Source organism: Homo sapiens, chromosome 13, assembly GCF_000001405.40.
Source record: "Homo sapiens chromosome 13, GRCh38.p14 Primary Assembly".
Taxonomy (NCBI): Eukaryota; Metazoa; Chordata; class Mammalia; order Primates; family Hominidae; genus Homo; species Homo sapiens.
Window position 1 is genome coordinate 46,850,083 of NC_000013.11, and position 20,083 is coordinate 46,870,165.

Sequence of the window (20,083 nt, forward strand, 5' to 3'; positions counted from 1 at the left end):
CTAACAATTCTGACAAAGTAGGGCTTTATAGAAGTTGAAGGTAAAGCTAGTTAATTTGAGGACTTTCCCTAGACAGAGCCCTTTCTCTAATATCCTAGTTAATAATAATCATCCATCTTTACATGCTAACAGTGCATCAGGGAGGACTATGTCATGGTGGTGGTAGTAAATAATAATGATAAAAAATAACACAATCAAATACTTACATGGTGCTTACTGTGCTCCAGGCACTATCCTAAGTGCTTTATACAGATGAGCTCACTTACTCCTCACAGTCACCCTATGAGTTTGTGCTATTATTATCACTGTTTGCTGATGAGAAAGTGGAAGCACAGAGAAGTTAGGCAAGTTGCCAAATGTCACACAGTAAGTGCTGAAACTAGAATTTTGAGCCACAGCCTGGCTCTGTAGTCTGTATTTTTCTATGCTCTGTAGCCTCAGCACACTTTCGCCATCAGGTATGCAGGCTTGGGGATCAAACTTCCTCACTTCAGAAAAGTTGCTGCTTGAAGAGTTGCTGCTTCATTGCTGCTCAAGGCTGGCTCTTAGATCCGGAGCCTGGAATTCATGCAGTGTCCTACCTATGAAATCTTTCTGTGGGGACAGGCCTCCTTTTATCTGTGCTTGTGTTGCAGGGGCTATACGTTTCTCATTTAGAGCCATTTACATGCTATCTATGGGAAGACTGGCTATAGAAACCATCTTTTAAGAACTTAATGCTAAGGACCAGTTATGTTTTACTGCAAGTCTTTAATGCACAATGCCAAGATCAACATTTTTTGAAATTACAATTTTCTCTGCTATTTCTTACAATGCTTATTTTCTTTCCATGGTTCCCAGCTAATTGGTGTCCCGTACCTGTGCTGATGTTGAATGTTTTTCCTCCAAATTAACCTATAGATGATTTCTGGGGTGGGGGTGAGGATGGGGCAGAAACCCTTTGAAAAGGAGTGCAAAAGTTCATGTTCATGTGACTACGTACATTTTTCAGGAAAGAGGTAATTATCCCAATACTCTGCAACACAAAAAAGATTCTGAATCACTGAGCCTGGGTGTACAAACACTATGTCTTGTGTGTATGTGTCTGTGTATATGTGTGTTTCCTAGTAAAACCAGTTTCATATCTTCATAGTTCTATTTCTTCTGGATAGTACTTTTCTAGAGAATATGGCAGTAATTTCTAATTTTAAAAGACATAAGAAACAAAAGTCACAGTAAAAATCTAATCAGCCAAATAGTTTATAAGAAAATGCAGGAAAAAGATAAAGAATGAGCTCCTTGATACATTGTATATTCTGGTTCAAACATAGTACATGCACAGATACATACAGCACAAAACACACTAACTTTAATATCCTGTGGAGAAGTTAATTTGCTGGATTACACATATGCATGTTAAATGGGAGCATTTATTAGAATAAGTCAGACCAAAAGAACACTTTCGCACGGAATATTTATATAATGGAAACAGGGATTTCTGAAAAATTGCTTCAGTTTTCCAGGTGGCTTTACAAGGGCAGGATGGATGTAGAGTAACTGGGAGAGAGACTCTCCTTTTAGCAACATTCTGGGCATGAAAGGCAGTTGTGGATCCAGCCAAATAAGCTGCAAACTTCCCGATGATATATTCACCGCTTTTCTACATTTTGTGATAGTAATAAGGAAGGTGTTAGCTCTAGCCTGCTAAATGTTTGAATCTGATGCATTTTGTAATCAGCAGAATAATGGTCCCCAAAGATGCCTACGCCTAACTCCTGGATGCTGTGAATATGTTGTGTTATATGGCAAGGATAAACTAAAGTTGCAGATGGGAATTAAAGATGTCAATCAGCTGAGCTGGAAATAATTAGAGTGCCCTGGATTATCCAGGTGGGCCCAATGTAATCACAGATTTCCTTAAAAGTGGAAGAGGGAGGAAGGTGTGTTGGGTCAAAGTGATTCAATAAGAGCAGGATTCAATCTGTACTGGCTACCTTGGAAGATAACAGGAAAAGGACCGTGGGCCAAGGAGTGTAGGTGGTTTCTAGAAGCTGGAGGGGCCAGTGACATATTTTTTCCCTAGTGCCTCCAGAAAGAACGCAGCCCTACTGACACCTTGGTTTTGGCCTGGTGAGACCAACTTTGGACTTTTCACTTCCAAAACTGTAAGTAATAAATTTGTGTTGTTTTAAGCCAACAGCAGAGGTGTCATTTCAGTTTGTAGTCATTGCTACAGCAGCACTAAGGAGCTGGCACACATTGCCGGGACTCGCTCTGGCGCTTGGGCGGCACTGTAGGTGTCCACGTTCTTGGAGGTAGTCAGCAAAGGGGGGCTCTCTCGGCTGGGCTGGCCACGTCTGCTTACACAGAGTGCTACCCTCTTCCCACTGCGGTAACAGCCTTGCCTTAGCCCCTGTGTGTTTGGAGTGGCATTCGCTACAAAAGTTCTTTGTCAAAGGGACAAACGATGAGCTATGATGCCATTCAGACTGATGTGTTAACTTCTAAGCTTTCCTATGATTAAGATAATTGTTCTATGATATGAGGAGCGGCATTGCATGCAGTATATTTCTTTATGTGCTGTTAAAATGCAGTTCACGGCTGTAGACAGGTGGGGTGAAATTAGCACCAGACTGGGAGACAGAAGCCCTGATTTCTTTCCTTGGCCTGTCCACATACAAGCTATGGGTGTAATGAACTTTTGTTTTCCCATAAACATTTTAAAATCACTTAGTCATGCTCCTCAAAAAATTTTAACTTTTGGATTAAAACTGTTGAAACTGTAGATAATCTGGTGGAAAATGAACACCTTAGTTCTACAGTTAACAAAGGTAAGTTATCTCAATAATTTGAACATGTTATATTTTTATCTACTTAGGTCTTGTCTGTCCTATAATAGTTCTAGGGCTTTTTTTTTTCCTATAAAGTTCCTGGTAATTCTTATCTGATTTTTCTTTTTCTCCTTAATATAGTGCATTATTCTGAATTGTTAGGTAAAAGTTGGTCTGCTTGTTGTCAGTATCTTATAGAGTTTGTGCTTCTCATATGCCTAGAAATTTTTTCTTGTGACTTTATATCCCCTTCAGGGGATATAAGATGCCGTGATTAATATCGTACACCAGGAGAAGGGGTTACAGCCTGTGCGCCTCCTGGTGATCTTGATTAGGAAGAAGGGGAAGGTGGACCTTAGGGCAGATGGCCTCTAGCATTGAAATGTGGGCTCCCAGATCCTCCATCTGTCCACATCTTGCTGGACACCTCCATACTCATCTGCCTGGGCCACTTCTCTGACTCCCAATCCCCTAACCCTTGGGCTGGGAGGAGAAAGAGCTCAGAAGCCAGCAGGTTGCTCTCTTCCCTTGCTGTGTGCTCTCAGTGGTTGTTGGCAGCACACTGGAATCACCTGGCAGCCTTAAATACTGATAGTGAATTGAATCCATAGAGATTCTGATTTTGTGCATTCCAGGTGAGGCCAAGTGTATCAGGCTGTTTTAAACCTCCCCAGATGATTCTAATGTGCTGCTAAGGTTGAGATCCCCAGTCCCAGCCCTCTCCTGAAGCCACCCCACTGGCTGGAGAAGATACTGGGCTGACATTGCTTTTTCTCTGCCCTGCCATGGTCACTGGGTGGGCAGGCAGGCCCCTGTCCAGGGTAGCGTGGACACTCTTCCAAGGCAGCATCTACGACTCTCAGCTGTCACTCTCAGCTCTCCTCCATCTAAAACATCTTAGTTTTACAGTTGTGCTTTTCATATGCCTAGAAATTTCTGGGCTACATTTCTTTCCCATATATGGACTTCATGACCGTCTATTTTCCCAGAGGTTTTTTGCAGTTTTTATGCTAGTTTTTGATTCACCAATCTTTTCCTTCTGTTAGGTTTAAAGAAAAAAGTCTACAGTTCCAGTTAGTCTACTTTTGTAACAGGACCTGACAACTCCACTCTACTTCCAATCCTGAAAGACTACAGGAAAAACTAGCCCAAGTGACTGAGCTGGGGGGTCCCAGTCATCGGTAGCATGGGTATTTTGCTTTGGAATATTATCAAATAGCAGGGGGACCAGCACAGTGGACTTAGTGTCAAGTCTAGGATTTGATTCTTAGCTAACAAAACAAGTTTCCTCTCTGAGTTGTGACGATTAAATGCAATAAAATGGAAAAGTGCCCAGCAGTGATGGGCTTTCAGGAGATGCCATAGACATTAGCTGAATTTGAACATTTTCAACTTGAATGGGACAGAAACATTAACTGGAGTTGACAGGAGGATCAGCGATGTATCTAATAAGCAGCATTACAAATAGCACAAGCTTAGGTGTTCCTCAGCTACCACACCTTAGTGCTTGCTCCTCTGTTAGGATTATCTATTAGACTTTGCTATTTACTTTTATTAGATTTTTATATTACAAGAGGGGCACATAATAGAGCTCATGCAATTTGGTTCATTTCAGACTTGGGCCAGCTTTAGGTGAAAGCTGCTGGAACTAATTTTTATAGCCAGGACTTCAAATAGTGACTTTGAGCCTATATCAGAACAAAATATCATTATCCCCAGCCCTGGCTCTGACATCAGTTCTTTTGAGGCTGAAAGTTGCCCTGGGGTTGTAAGATCTTACACGACCAATAACAGAAGTCAGCAGAGACTCCTAGGCACAGAGATGTGATACCATAATTAATATTTTGATAGCATTCCAAACAGCAACAGAATAATGCCTTTGGCCAGGAAATCACAGATCCCTACCCACCCTGTTATGGTGGAACTGTGTCCCCTCAAATGATCCCCAGTAGCTGTGAATGTGATCTTATTTGGAAATAGATTCTTTTGTAGATGATCAAGTTAAGGTTAAGTAAGGTCATTAGGGTGGGCCCTAATCCACTACGACTGAACTTATAAAAAGAGAAAAAATTTGGACGTGGACATGTGTACGCTGAGATAACATTATGTGAAGATGAAGGCAGAGATTGGGAGACGGAACTATAAGTCAGGGAACACCAAATTGACTAATGTCCCCCCAGAGCTAAGAAGAGGCCATGGAACAGCCTCTCCTTCACAGGTCAGAAGGAACCAATCCTGCCAATACCTTGATTCCCAGAATTCTGACCTCCGGAACTGTGACACAAGAAATCTGTCAGTTTAAGCCAATAAGTTTGAGGTTCTTTGTTACAGTAGCCCTAGGAAACCAGTACACCCCCTTTTCTCTCACTCTGCCTTCCAGGAGAAGTGATACTATAGATTGCTCAAACTCAAGGGAACTCCTTCAGTTTTTCGGTTGAAACATGTGAAAAGGCTGATATGTAACCACTATGACCTTCAGAAGGGGCAGTTTCACAGGATGTAGTCAAATATATTTTCTGGTGGGTGGAGCTTTGTGTGAGACATAAATCAATCTCACTGGGTAGCTGTCTCAATTTCCACTTTCCCAGTTCAGTGTGGGTGGATGGGGAAGGTGCTCTCAACTGGGGGGGTACACAGGCTGCTTTTCTCATTGGCTTTCCCTTATGCTTCCGGGACATTCTTCATTCTGTGTGGCCAGGGAACATGTAAACTGGAGACAGAACCCAAAAGCTTTCCCTCCCTAAAAAAGGCCTAAGGTGGGATGGCCAGCAGGGCAGGTGAGGACCTTGCTACAAAAATTTTAGGACCGAGAAAAGTAAGTACTGCTCCCCCAAAAATTCAATCTCAAAATTAATATTTAACTTAAATATCTAAAATATAACATGTCCACTAGCCAGATCAGCTGATAGTAGGGCATATAAAGTTATGTTTAATGTGGTGTATTGTGTATAACATATGATGTGGGTGGGGTCCGCAAAAGTAAGGGTGCCAAAGGTCTGAAACAGCTCTGGGCGTTGGAGCAAATGGTCTTTCTCCTCTGGCTACTATTGTCTTGTACTTACACCTTCTTCCTGACTGCTGTGTTCTTTGACATTCCAAAATAGTAAGATTAGAGACCTAGTGTGGGTTTGGGACAGAACAGGTAGAATAAAGCAATCCCTTACCCTGCTTCATCCCTGGTTATATGTTGATCTTAGAAAACGAAGAGTGCTCTGGACAGTGGGTGGAGAAGATTCAAGTACATCTTCCTTGCTGACAATATGCTCTCCTATCTTTTGTAAGAGTACACAATTTAAATTTCTAAAAATTCATTACAATACAAAGCAAAACAATCCCTCGTAGATTTATAATCAAACTAATATGCCACTTAGAAAAGATTTGAAATAAATGCAAATACCTAGGTACAATGTTTTATCTTTTTAATGACACTTCAATAAACCTAATTACTTTTATTTTTCTGAACAAAGCAAGTGGGGAGAAAAATGTAAAGTGTTTCTTCATACACTGCAAGTTTATGAAATTCAAGAGGTAGAAAATGCAGCAGGGTTTTGAAGAAGAGCCTTTTAAATGAATGTGAGGCTTGGCTATCCCTACACTTGGGATGCAGGTCTTCTAAATGGATGTAAGTCTTGGGTATACCTTAAAGACGATGACAGTGAAAGTCAGCAAATCCTTCCCCAGTAGGCTTTAACTCTCTTAGTTAAAAAAAAAAAATACAAAAAAACACTAGGCTGAATGGGCCATTTGTATCATGTAGTACGATGACTCTTATGTATGTACTTCTATCCTGGGATGAAAGTCCTTAATGAAGGATTTGCAGATTAGGTTAAGAGGGTTATCGTTATCTAATTACACAACAAATCCATTCATCTGGCAAATACTTAGTGAATATCTACTAAGTGCCAGGCAGAATGCTAAACAAACTTGTCCAAAACAGCCACATGATAGCAGGGGCACGATAACAGTCCCTGTTGTGCAGCTCAGTTGAGTAGGAGGCATCTATAATTCCATGTGAGGATGAGGGCAGTGCAAGGTGCTGGGGGGAGCCCTAGCATCTTCATCCATTCAGGCTGCTAGAACGAACTGCCACAGCCTAGGTGGCTTGTAAACAATAGAAATTCATTGCTGGCTGGGCGCGGTGGCTCACGACTGTAATCTCAGCACTTTGGGAGGCTGAGGTGGGTGGATCATGAGGTCAAGAGATAGAGACCATCCTGGCCAACTTGGTGAAATCCTGTCTCTACTAAAAACACAAAAATTAGCTGGGGGTGATTGTGCTCCCCTGCAGTCCCAGCTACTCAGGAGGCTAGGCAGAAGAATCACTTGAACCTGAGAGGCGGAGGTTTCAGTGAGCTGAGATCATACCACTGCACTCCAGCCTGGTGACAGAGCAAGACTCCATCTTAAAAAAAAAAAAAAAAAATCATTGCCCACAGATCTCAAGGCTGGAATGTCCAAGATGAAAGCACCAGCAGATTCAGTGTCTAATGAGGGTCGGTTTGCCCATTTCATAAATGGCACCTGCTCACTGCATCCTCACAGGATGGAAGGGCCAAGGCAGCTCTCTAGGGCCCCTTTGATAAGGGCTCTAATCTCATTCCTGAGAGCTCTGCCTTCATGATTTAACCACCTCTCAAAGGACTCACCTCCAAATACATAATCACATTGATGATTACATTTCTACCTGTGAATTTTGGGGAGATGCATTCAGACCATAGTAAGTAGGGAGGGGCATTTGACTTGAATTTGAGAACTGATCAAAAAGGCTTTCTGTAGAAAGTGATAGTGAGGCCTCAAAAACAAGAAGGGCTTATTCAGACAAATGAAATAAATGCCCTGGAGGCAAGAAAGCACAGCATATAAGAGCTGAAAGTAATTTGATATGAGGTAAGGATCCTCCAGAGAGAGGAACCTGGGGAGGTGGGGAGAAGCCACATCTCGAAGGGCCTTGCAAGCCATATGGAGAAGATTCACCTCTACCCTGAGGGCAATAAGAAGCTACTAAATGACTTTAAGCAGAGAATGGAAATATTCAGATGACAGCCTGGCTGTTTGGTGGGTGGATTAGAGGGAAACTAGACCAGTAAAGAGGCTGCTGCAGTAAGCAAGGTGGGAAATGAGAAACATTGCCACTGGGGACAAAAGTGGGGGACTCCTAAGACAGTGGCAGGGAGCATCAGCAGGATTTAGTGATTGGGTGGAGGTGCAAGTAAGAAAATGAAGGTTAAGAGTTTAGCTTTGTAGAGTGGTACCTCTCTGTGGAGCTTGAGAACTTGGAGAGAAGAAAGCTTTGGTGGGAAGGGGACGATTCAGTTTTAGACATACTGATTTGGATATACATAAAGTATAGCCAAGCAGAGCTGCTTGGAAAACAGGTACCTGAATCTGACGACCCCTCTCTCAGGCAGCTCTCAGGGCAAGGGATTCCAGGAAGGAGTACTGAGCTGCCTTGAAGGATGAAGAGTAGTGGGAGGGGGTGTGGCAGGAAATGCTTGGAAGCTGGGGAATGATGATGAGACTTACATGCCATGAGGAATTGCAGGTAGTACAGAGGGCTGTGGATGGAAGGCAGGGAATAATTCTTGATGGGTTTTGCCTGTCATGTTTTATGCCTAAGGAATGAGATAGAGCTAATATAATATTTTAGACAGGCGAGAAACCTGATCATATTTGGGTTTTAGGAATTAGACTGGCACTGGCATGAGTGTGAACTGGAAATGGAAATAAATCAGACCAGTTAAAATAATCTAGTTTTATGCCTGTCAAAAGATCAAGTCCTAAACTAAGGCTGAACAGAGAGGGTGAGGAAGAAGGAATGAATTTTAGGGATACCGAGGTGGCAGAAATGACAGCTATAGCCATGGACTAAATGTGGGAGGTGAGGAAGATGGCAAGAATGATATTCAGAGTTCTGGCTTGGCTGATGGTGGACCATTTGGTGAGATGGGCACTACCCATCTCAGAGGTGGAATGGCAAGGTACAGGTCTGAGAAAAGCAGGGCAGATGCGCCATAAACCCTGATCTCACAATTGACTGAAAAATCATGAGTCACTAAGACGTTCGAATTCTTGATCCCTGCAAGGAACAGCAATTTTAATTACTTTCATCTGCAGTGAAGAATTTGGCATCACTTTGCCCTTTTTGTCAATATTAAGGCTTGGAAATCAGTTCTGTTTGCAAAACTACTTTATCTTTTGAAAGAAACAGATACTCAACATGTTAAAAATGGCCAAAATATAACTTGGTATTTGCAGGGATCTCTCTTTCCCAAATAATCAGATATCTAAAATCTTGTGTTGAAGAGAAGTACCTATAATTTGCCCAAGCCTTCAAGATGCTATCACATGGCTGATTCCTCTCATTCTTCAAGTTTCAGCTGAGATGAAAATGGTCAGAAAAGCATTTTCTGAACACCTTCTCCAAACAGGTCCTGTTATTACTATCATGGCTCTACGTCCTGTCATCCATGCCATTTCATCAGCTTAAAAGTATATTTTTATTTACATATTACTCTCTTCCCACTATGATTATAAGGTCCTTCAGGGTTGATAGGGTTTGGATCTGTGTCCCTGCTCAAATCTCCTGTGAAATTATAATCTCCAATGTGGAGGTGGGGCTGGTGGGAGGTGACTGGATCATGGGGGTGGTTTCTGATGGTTTACCACCATCCCCCTAGTGCTGTTTCATGAGAGAGTTCTCAGGAGATCTGGTTGTTTGCAAGTGTGTAGCACCTCCCTCACCTTCCTCCTGCTCTGGGCCATGTAATTTGTGCCTGCTTCCCCTTCTGCCATGATTGAAAGTTTCCCGAGGCCTCCCCAGAAGCCACCATGCTTCCTGTACAGCCTGCAGAACCGTGAGCCGATTAAACCGCTTTTCTTTATAAATTACCCAGCCTCAGGTATTTCTTTACGGCAATGCAAGAGTGGACTGATACAAGGTAAAGATTGTGCCTGCTTCTTTTACCTGAGTATAGCCAGTGGCAGCTTTATGCCCTGGCCTATCATCACCATCCTATAAATACTAATTAAGTTCACGGCTAAAGAACAGTCACGATTCCTGTTCTCAAGGCTCTTTTTAGCCAGTATCATTTTTATGGCCATGTCGGTTGTTAAAATTCAAAGTCCTTCTGTACTTAATAACCTCTGCTCAGAGCCCTGGAAGTCCCCCAGCCCTTACTCATTCTTCTATTTGCCCTTTTCGAGGAATTCTCAGAATTCTCCTCAACCCACAACTTAAGGCCTAATACCTGGCCCAGTGTGCCCTAGTTCTGGTGCTGAGGACTGTGTGTGTTGGTTGGTGTCTGTGCTGTACAGGTTGGTAAATGTTTTGAAGGTCATACCTGCCTAGACTTCTAATCCAAACCCAGAATCTACTTTCTGTTGCTATATAATACATAGAAACTTCCATAATAATGACATAGAGTAACATAGGAAAAGATCCCTATTGCTAATGATGAACAAGTTAAATTCATATTAAAGCAAAACCATAGCCTCAGATAGGGTAAACAGATGGGCAGGTCTGTGTGAACGTGTTTGTGTCAGGGTTAGGAGTTAGGGAGGTCTGTGGCAAGGGAGGATTGCAGAACAATCACCTTTATGTTCTTTTGGATTGAAGACAAAGTTTCATCTCTTTCAAGGAGAGAGAAGAGCTTTATTGAAAAAAGTCAAACTTCAACTGCGAATATATTCCTTAAGTGGAGAGATCCTGGGTGAGACTCCATCCAGAAGCTGGCTTAATTGGACTCCAACTGGGCAGAATGAATTCTTAATCAGAACATATTTTATTTGCTTAAAATGAATATTATTGCAGTTACCCCCGATTTATCAACAAAGTGGCCATTAACAGCCATCAGTGGCTGACCTTGACAGATTCCATTACTGAAATAATGAAATTTGATGGGTTACTATTATTAAGATTTGCTAATGGTTTTACATTGCAGAGCTTGAGACCAGTGAAACAGAGCTGCTTACTCAGGCAGGCTGACCACAGGGAAAATGAGAGGGAGGGAGTAATGAAAAGCACAGGGAGCTTGATGAAAAATGAATGGCTCCCAGGCAGAATTTCCACAAATGAAATGCAAATTCAGATATATATCTCTTAATCACCAAACTGAAAAGGTTGATTACTTAAAATTAGACTCACCAGATGTTTTTGTTGTAGGCAGGAATGGAAAGCTGACTAAGTGGGAAAATACAAATTTATTCTTTAAAAGGTCCTAGTTATCTCATAATAGCTGGTAGGAAATTGAACTGAAGTCATAAACGGAAAGCAGCTAGATTCAGAGGGGAATGAGGAGAAAAGCTCAGAGGCAAGAAAAGGAGAAGAAATAAGACAATTCTATTGTGTTAGCATTCCTGATATTTGTAAACTTGGGCTGACGTGCAAAAGAAGTGATTTACTTTTTTTTTCCTAAAAATTCATTGGTTAGCAGCTTTCTTCTCACATAATTTTAGATTGTAAACATTTTACTTCCCTTATCCTCAGAGCCATTATTAATTTCCATTACCTTCAGACATGACCCAGCTACAAGAAACACCAACCCAATTTCGTTTGAGTGGAACCAGCTGTGGGCAAAGGAGTAAAGTTGCTTCTGGGATACAGTTTGGGAGACATTGGAAAGGCCTGTTCTTAGATTGTCTCCCTCACCTTCCTGGTTTTCCCATCAAAGATTTGTCTGTTTGGATCTATCAAGCATTTTGAACTTACTGGCTTCTGTTTAAAATGCAAACACTTCCGAAGAGGCAATAACTGAGAACCTGTTAGGCTTATCAACTAATACCTTTGCCTAAATAGAGATTCTGTCAGGACAAAAGTTTTGAGGAGTGGATTATTTCAGAGCAATTAGTGTTTGGGAGAGGGAAAAAGGCACTCCTAAGAGTTGGAAGAGATCATTTTTACCTATCTTACAATTTCCAAGAGGAGGGCCCTTCTGTGGCTTAACTAGTATTTATTGCCAAAACTTCATGGATTAAAAACTCCCAAACTGAAGTCAGTTTTGGTTTCCTCATGCCTCTCTATATGGCAAAAGAACCCTAGATAATGAGGAATATTGGATGCACATGGAGATAACCTCCTTGTTTGTCTATAAGATAGAAATAGATTCTGTCTTGCTATTATTGCCTGTCCTTTACTTTCTGGGTCAGTGGTCCAGGATCCTGTTAATTTCTTACATAACAAATTAGCTGTGGACCTCAATAACCACTGTCCAAGTTTGTAAAACAGAGAACGAGATATGAGTAAGTTCCTTGCCAGATCTATTATAATTAAGTTACTGTAACTTCTGTAAGTGTACTTAAGCCTAACAGTCAGTACACAGCATATAGGAAATGCATATGTGGTTTTGAACCAATCAGCTTAAGTATATTGTACATTAGAGGAGATAGGCTCAAAGCAAGTAATTCCTTTTAAAATGTTTTTATATGCATCACATCCATAACTAAGGGCCTACTGTGTGGTAGGTATCACAATCCAGGAGTGCAAAGGTAAGAACTGTGTAACATATGGGCCTGTTCTATGGAAATGAATGTATTAGGGAATCTGTTATATTTTGCTATCAAGGTTAATAAAACAAAAACAGAAAAAGTTAGCCAGGGGGAAATGTATTGTATAATCCATTTTGGGATAGATAAAAGGTGACTTTGGGGAACATAGAGCCCCTTGCCCCGCATAAGAAACTCCAGAAATAGAAAAGAGAAACAGGAAAACCAAAACTGGCTGGCCACTCGGGAGATCACATTTGTTAGTGGCTTCCGCTAAGTGAACTATTTGAGACAACTTATAACTTATGTTGGGTCAGGTAACTCTAGAAGTGCCCTCTAGTTGGTAATAGATAGCTTGTAATATGTCTGGTTCATATAATAAAACCTTATTTGAATGCCACTATTGTCAGAACATGTAGAAAGATACTATATTTGCACTACCTATAAAATGGTATTTGTTCTACAAAGGTATAAAATTATAGGGGGATAATTAAAATGCTTAGACTCTTCAGGCACTTGACAGTCATTTCTGTGTAAATGACTTAAATCACTAATTGTAAAACATTTCAATTTAATCCTCAAGATACCTCAAGGAGCTCCACTCGCTGATATTCTTTCTGGTATAACACTAGTTACCATTCTTTCTGGTATAACACTAGTTACCATGTGCATTGGAGAATAAAAATTTCTCTGAAATAAACTGCAATTGTGACTCTTTAATTCAGACTTATTTTCTCAACAATTAGTCAAAATTAGTCAAATAAGGTGAAAGTATAAATGGTTATACAAAACTCTTAATTTCTTATGAAGACTATAAGGGCAATTATACATGAAAAATAAAAGGCTTAACTCTCACTTTTAAAAATAAGAGAATGCAGTTTGATAGCTCTGATGCTTAAAAAATAAAAAGGGAATAAGAACAAAAGTTATCTTTTCTTAGAGCATTTTCCTTTGTCAACTTGTAATTGGCCCGGTGTGGTGGCTCATACCTATAAATTTCAGCACTTTGGAAGGCTGAGGTGGAAGGATTGCTTGAGCCCAGGAGTTCAAGACCACTCTGGGCAACATAGCAGCGCCTCATCTCTACAAAAAGTACAAAAATTAGCTGAGCGTGGTGGAGTGTGCCTGTAGTCCCAGCTACTTAAGGGGCTGAGGCAGGAGGATTGCTTGAGCCCAGGAGTTCAAGGCTGCCGTGAGCTATGAAGTAAGCTGCCACTGCACTCCAGCCTGGGCACCAGAGTGAGACTCCCTCAAAATGAAAAAAAAAAAAAAAAAAAGAAAAAAAAAAAAGACAGTCATATGAAAAAAGCTCAACATCACTGATCATTTGAAAATCAAAACCACAATGAGATACCATCTCATGCCAGTCAGAATGGTGATTATTAGGAAGTAAATAACACGCTGGCAAGGTTGTGGAGAAAAAGGAACACTTATATACTGTCGGTGGGAGTGTAAATTAGTTCAACCATTGTGGAAGACAGTGTGGTGGTTCCTCAAAGATCTAGAGGCAGAAATATCATTTGACCCAGCAATCCCATTACTGAATATATACCCAAAGGAATATAAATTATTCTGTTATAAAGACACATGCACACATATATTCATTGCAGCACTATTCACAATAGCAGAGACATGGAAACAACATAAATATCCATCACTGATAGACTGGATAAAGAAAATGTGGTACATATATACCATAGAATACTATGCAGTCATAAAAATGAGATCATGTCCTTTGCAGGGACATGGATGGAGCCTGGAGGCCATTATCCTTAGCAAAACTAAACTATACACATGTTCTCACATATAAGTGGGAGCTAAATGATGAGAACACATGGACACATAGGGGAACAACACACAACTAGGGCCTGTTGGAGGGTGGGGCCTGGGAGGAAGTTAGACGATCAGGAAAAATAAATAATGGGTACTATGCTTAATACCTGGGTGATGAAATAATCTGTACAACAAACTTGTGCCATGACACAAGTTTACCTACATGACAAACCTGCACAGGTACCCCTGAACTTAAAAGTTCATAAAATCCTTGTAATTATAAATTCTTTCTTTGGCTCTTTGAGATGAAAAATATTTTAAAAGGCCCTCGCAGGTCTTACAAGCCAGGAGTGTCATTTTCTAGGACCAAGGAGCCATCTCTCTGACGTAAAGGAGACAACACTTCTATCTTGCGGCTTCGGTAAGAAGGTAGGAGCCTAAACTTCCGAGGATCCTCCTCCTCCAACTTGCAAAACTACTTCTTGTCATTAAGATATGAGAAGTTTGTTTTTCCCTTTATAAGACACTAATTAGCTAACACAGATGTTCACCCCAATTACCAGGTATATTTAGGATGAACTATGTGAGGCACATGGTGCTGTCAAGTCCTTATGTGAGGACTAGCTAGTTGTTTATCTAGAGAATGCCTATGTAATAGGATGCATCTGTTTGGCTGTATAAAAGAGTGAGATTCGTCTTTGCAATCCCTCAGTGGATTCCCTCTATGTGTATCATATTCTAGTTTAGCGTTTATTCAATAATAAAGCTGCTTTCTTTCTCTACTATATTTGTAAAGAGGTTTTTTTTTAGGTTGGAAGATGATTTTGTCTTTAAATTTACCCAACCTAACCTCATATTGATTTTAGATATATTTCACGTGCTCTTAAACTATGTCCCTAAAACCCGAGCAGATGTTAACATTAGCTTTACTGCCTATGGGTTAACCATTCATGTCAACACTGATTCTCCTTCCTCCGGATCTTGGTGAATCACCCTAGAACATGTTTTGCCACCCTTCCTCACTCACTTCCTGGTATTATCACTGATAATGGTCTGCAGCTTTAATTTAAATTAGAGGATTAATTTTATGATATCTCAAATAATGTGATAACAGCAAGTAGATTGTCTTAAAAGTCATGTGTCAGCTAGCTGAGAAAGACTGCAAGTGATAGGGAGGAAAGAGGCTGAGCTGTTAGGGATTTAAGGTCAGTGAGTACATGACAAAAAATAAAATATTACATGCCTAGAAAGGCAGGACAAAATGAAGCAATGACTCAAAGTTCATCAACAGAAAAGAATATAAGAGATTTCAGCCTTCAGTCCTAGCAACAGCCTGCAATACAAAACAATTCTGGCTCTACTAGGTGAAGATGCTGACCTAAACCAGTCCTGGGTCACCTGGACTGTACTTGGAGCAGCAATGTCCATTGGAACGTTCTGTGACGGAAGGGTTCCATATCTACTGCCCAATGTACTAGCCACCAGCCATGTGTGTACTGACCACTGAAAATGTGGCTGGTGTGACAGAGCAGTTGAATGTTAAATTTAAGTTGATAAAATAAAAATGAAATGGCAATATATATGACTAGTGGCTACTCTATTGGACAACACAGAACTATATGATTCAAGGGAAGATGATTTTTGGGGTCATTTACTTAAATATTACAAGGCTTGCGCTATTTGGAGAGAAATCTCCTGTGTAGGATACTGATCAGCATTTATCACTGATTGGAAGATGTACAGATACTAGAGTTGAAGTGGTCCTAGATGTTGTTGGCAGTGATGGGAACATTTGGGTGCTTGAGACGAGGTAAGCTTTTCTGGGTTCTCTCCAGCCATCTCATGAGACTTCTTGCTGTATTTTTCACATATTTCATTATTTTCAAGTTCTACTATCTTTATCTTGCTCACATCCTGGGAATCATAAGAGGATTAATTCGTGAGTTTCATAAATTGTTTTGTAGATTAAAATTCCCTATTAAAATGTCTATTACTATCAGCAGTCCTGACTTGGAGAGATTAGACTTCTGACAATTCCTGTTTATAGGGTTCGGAGCAATGCATCTGTGCTATTAGCCCAGGAGGCAGGCCCACACAGACTCAGTTAGATTAAGCAATCAGCTTCCTGATAGGCTTACCGAGAAAGCTGACTCGCCCTTCAGCCTCAGCCTGGCCTCGTGGTTCCTCCCTTCTCTGCCTGCTTCCTGTCCTAGGGTCTGTCAGCCACTCTGCAGAGCTATCCTGTACTGCCTGAGGGGCTGTGCAATCAACTCAGGCCTCAGGGGAGAGAGCAGCTGAGGAATGTAAATGGTGCACAGTGTAAACAGTAATGCACTTGAAGTCACAAGACCTGGCTTTGAGTCCCAGACTTGCCTTGTTAATTATGAAATTCTGACTAGGTACTTAGTCTCTTTGAAACTTACTTTTCTCATTCCCATTCATTTAACAAATATTGAGTTAGGTACTGTGTTAGGAACTGGGGAGTCATCAGTGAACTAGACTAAAAACTTCTACCCTCATGGAATTTACATTTTCAGCAAGAGGAACTGAAAATAAACATAATAAATGCTTTACATAACACATCAGAAGGTAATAAGTAGGCCAGGTACGGTGGCTCATGCCAGTAATCCCAGAACTTTGGGAGGCCAAGGTGGGTGGATCACCTGAGGTCAGGAGTTCGAGACCAGCCTGGCCAACCTGGTGAAACATATTCTCTACTAAAAATACAAAGATTAGCTGGGTGTGGTGGTGGGCGCCTGTAATCCCAGTTACTTGGGCAGCTGAGGCAGGAGAATCGCTTGACCTGGGAGGCAGAGGTTGCAGTGAGTCGAGATTGCGCCACTGCACTCCAGCCTGGGTGACAAGAGTGAAACTCTGTCTCAAAAAGTGATAAGTGAGGGAGATAGATAAAGCTTGGTAAACTGGATGGGGAATAGATGGGAGACAACATGGTTTTTGTGGGGGAATCAGGATAAGCCTCACTGAGAAATAGACATTTGGGCAAAAGCTTGAGGAAATAAGGCAAGTACCTATCTGTGAAGAACCGTCCAAGTTTAAGTCCAGACATAAGACAGAGAAACCTGAAAATAAAAACTGGTTGATGACCCTCACCTAGAGATAAGTTACCCTTAAAATGCCTACTATGTGCTAGGTGCCAAATACTTACTTACATTTAAAGGCTGACGCTGACTGATTTCCTTCATCATGGAAAATGAAGGTTATCCAAATAACTTGACAAGTTAAAAGCATCTCAGGAAAGGGATCATTTTCAATTTGAATCTGTCTTGTTCCACTGTTTACTATGAATTTGTAGCAATATTATGAGATAGCTTGGTGCATATGTGTATGTAATATATAAAACTGTTAGCCAATTCTGCATGGGAATCTGAGTTGCTAATTTCTCCAGAACATCTCTTGAAGGATTTTTGAATAGTGAATAATCTTTCAAGATGGAGATAGTGTCTCCATCTGGAGCAAAGGTCAGGTTTGTTTCCTGCTCATTATGAAGATTTGGGTTTGTTAAGCTCGGTTTTCTTTCCTGTATACAATCCACTGTGTCTGTAGTTGCCATATGGCCCTCTTTACATCACCCTGTGAAAACTGGGACTTGTGCAACTACTGCAAGAAAGTGGCGATACTCTGGCTATTGTAGTGAATCTCTGATCCAAGAGTCTCATGTCTTGCAGCAAGATAATGTGTTAGCCTGCAACTAGAATAAAATCCAAAACCTGCCTTTAAGTCTTGACATCTATGATTTGAGATAGAGATTTTTTTAAAGAGAACTAAGTGAACTTTTTGTCCTGAGTGAAGCACAAAGTACCCACATTGTAAAGTGGAAAATAGAATGGTTCATCAATTGTCCCAGCACCACTGCAAAGAGACAGTTAAGTAGCTGGTTTCCTTAGGCAACTGGAAATCTAGATAATATTGTGAATTTAATTGACCACTAATGGAAGTTCTCTATTTTTAAACATTTTTCTTTCCATCTTTCTGAAGCGATAGGAATACCTTTTCCCTAGAAAGGTCAGACTTCAGGAAGCACATAACATTTAAATAATCTGAAAGCTCAGCATCCCTGGATGTGCAAAGCTGCCAGAGCTGGGTCAGAGAGTCAAGCTGAATGGAATTACTGAAGGCAGCTATATGGCTGGAAATGCAGTCTTAAGATGAAGTGGAAAGCTAAGCTCTGACAGCTTGGTATTGAGATTTAACATTTGCACAAGGTTGTTGAGGATAAAGGCAATTGCCAAGAACAAGTAAAACTATTCAGAAGTTCATAGATTTGAGGGGGTCATTCATACGACCAAAAGAAAACTCCAACTCAAGGAACTGTGTATTACTTGTGTCTAATATTTCCCCAAAATATCATTGCTAAATTTTTTTTCTTCAAAATTAGGGAATTAGCACTCTTACAGATATATCATTTTTACTATTAAATATAGTTCTTTGAAAGAACCTACTCACGGGGGTATATATGAAATTCCCTATGTTCAACTGAGTTTCTATTTTATCCTGTATGCAGCATTTCCATTATTTGTCCTTGGGCAATTCCCAAAGGAAGTCTAGGGCAGTTTTTCATCCTTGAAGCATCTAAATGTGCTCTATAAACTATATTCTATATTCACCAGCTGCTTATATAATGTTATTTCTAAATGTGGAACAAAAAAGTTATTTACTGCCACTATTGGCACACAAATTCAATATGTATTAAAATATTCTTATTAAGAAGTGTTAGAAAAATAAAACTTCATGAAAATCTTTTAAAATTCCCAGATATATTATTAAATAATAAGCAAGCAAACAGTGACTGGACTTATGGTGATAAAGTAGCTTTACAGAATCTGAAGAGACTAAAAAGGGAAATTATATTAGAGAAATACAAAGTGATTGAAGTAGATACGTCACCAAAAGCACAAACAAAAACAGAAAAATAGATAAACCGGACTTCGTCATTATTAAAAACCTTTGTGCATCAAAGTATGTTACCAAGACAGTGAAAAGACAACCTACAGAATGAGAAAAAATATTTGCAAGTCCTATATTTGATAAGGGTTTAATGTCCAGAACATAAAGAATTTCTAAAACTCAACAAACAGATAAAACAGCCCAATTAAAAATTGGGCAAAGAATTTGAATAGGGATTTCTTCAAAGAAGACATTACAAATGACCAATAAACATATGAAATGATCAACGTCAGTAGTCATTAGGGAAATGCAAATCAGAATCACAATGAGATAACCACTTCTCACATACTATGATGGCTATAACAAACACAAGGAAAATATTGTTGAGGACTTGGAGAAATCAGAACCCTTGTACGTTGATGGCGGAAGTGTAAAATCACACAGATGCTGTAGAAGACAGTTTGATAGTTCATCAAAAAGTTAAAGATAGAACTATCATATGACCCAGTAATTCCACTCCTAGGTATATTCCCCAAAGAATTAAAAACAGGTTATTAATATGCCAATGCTCTGAATTGTAACATTATTCAGAATAGTCAAAAGCAGAAATCCACATATCCATCAACAGATGAATGAATAAAATGAGGTACATATATATATAATGAAATATTATTCAGCCATAGAAAATGAAGTTCTGATATGTACTATACTACAGACCCTGAAAACAGTATGCTAAGTGAAATAAGCCAGACAGAAAGAGAATAAATGTTGTATAATTGCACTTGTATAAAATATCTGGAACAGATGAATTAAGAGACAGCAGATTAGAGGTTACCAGGGAGTTGGGTTGGAAGGAGTGGGGAGTTATTGCTTAATGGTTACAGAATTTGTTTGTGAAGGCGAAAAAATTTGGAAATAGATAGTGGTGATGGTAGCACAAGATTGTGAATGTAATTTATGCCACTAAATCATTACACTTAGAAATGGTTAAAATGGCAAATTCTCTATTATATATTTTACTGCATAAAGTACATGCCTTTGTGACTTTTAAAAATATGAATTCTAAACTGGTCAAATATATATAATGGATTTTTTAAAACAAGAAAGTGAAGAAA

General features: G+C 40.1%; 1 protein-coding gene and 1 long non-coding RNA gene across 5 annotated transcripts in view, besides 1 other annotated feature; one reads left to right on the forward strand and one right to left on the reverse strand.

The window, feature by feature from the left end:
- The window catches only part of HTR2A (5-hydroxytryptamine receptor 2A), a 66,537-nt gene that overhangs the window by 18,537 nt on the left and 27,917 nt on the right, over positions 1-20,083 (reverse strand). The window lies entirely within an intron of this gene.
- On the forward strand, positions 2,058-6,217 carry HTR2A-AS1 (HTR2A antisense RNA 1). Of its 2 annotated transcripts, NR_046612.1 has the most exons (3): positions 2,058-2,144; positions 3,857-4,000; positions 6,008-6,217. It is a non-coding gene; the product is annotated as an HTR2A antisense RNA 1 (long non-coding RNA). The 2 variants fall into 2 exon arrangements; NR_103752.1 differs by lacking the exon at positions 3,857-4,000.
- Positions 5,153-5,272: an enhancer, noted in NCBI's record as "active region_7714". NCBI's record gives its function as "activates an Ori minimal core promoter by ATAC-STARR-seq in GM12878 lymphoblastoid cells {active_cell/tissue: GM12878}" and the evidence as "EXISTENCE:reporter gene assay evidence [ECO:0000049][PMID:35858748]".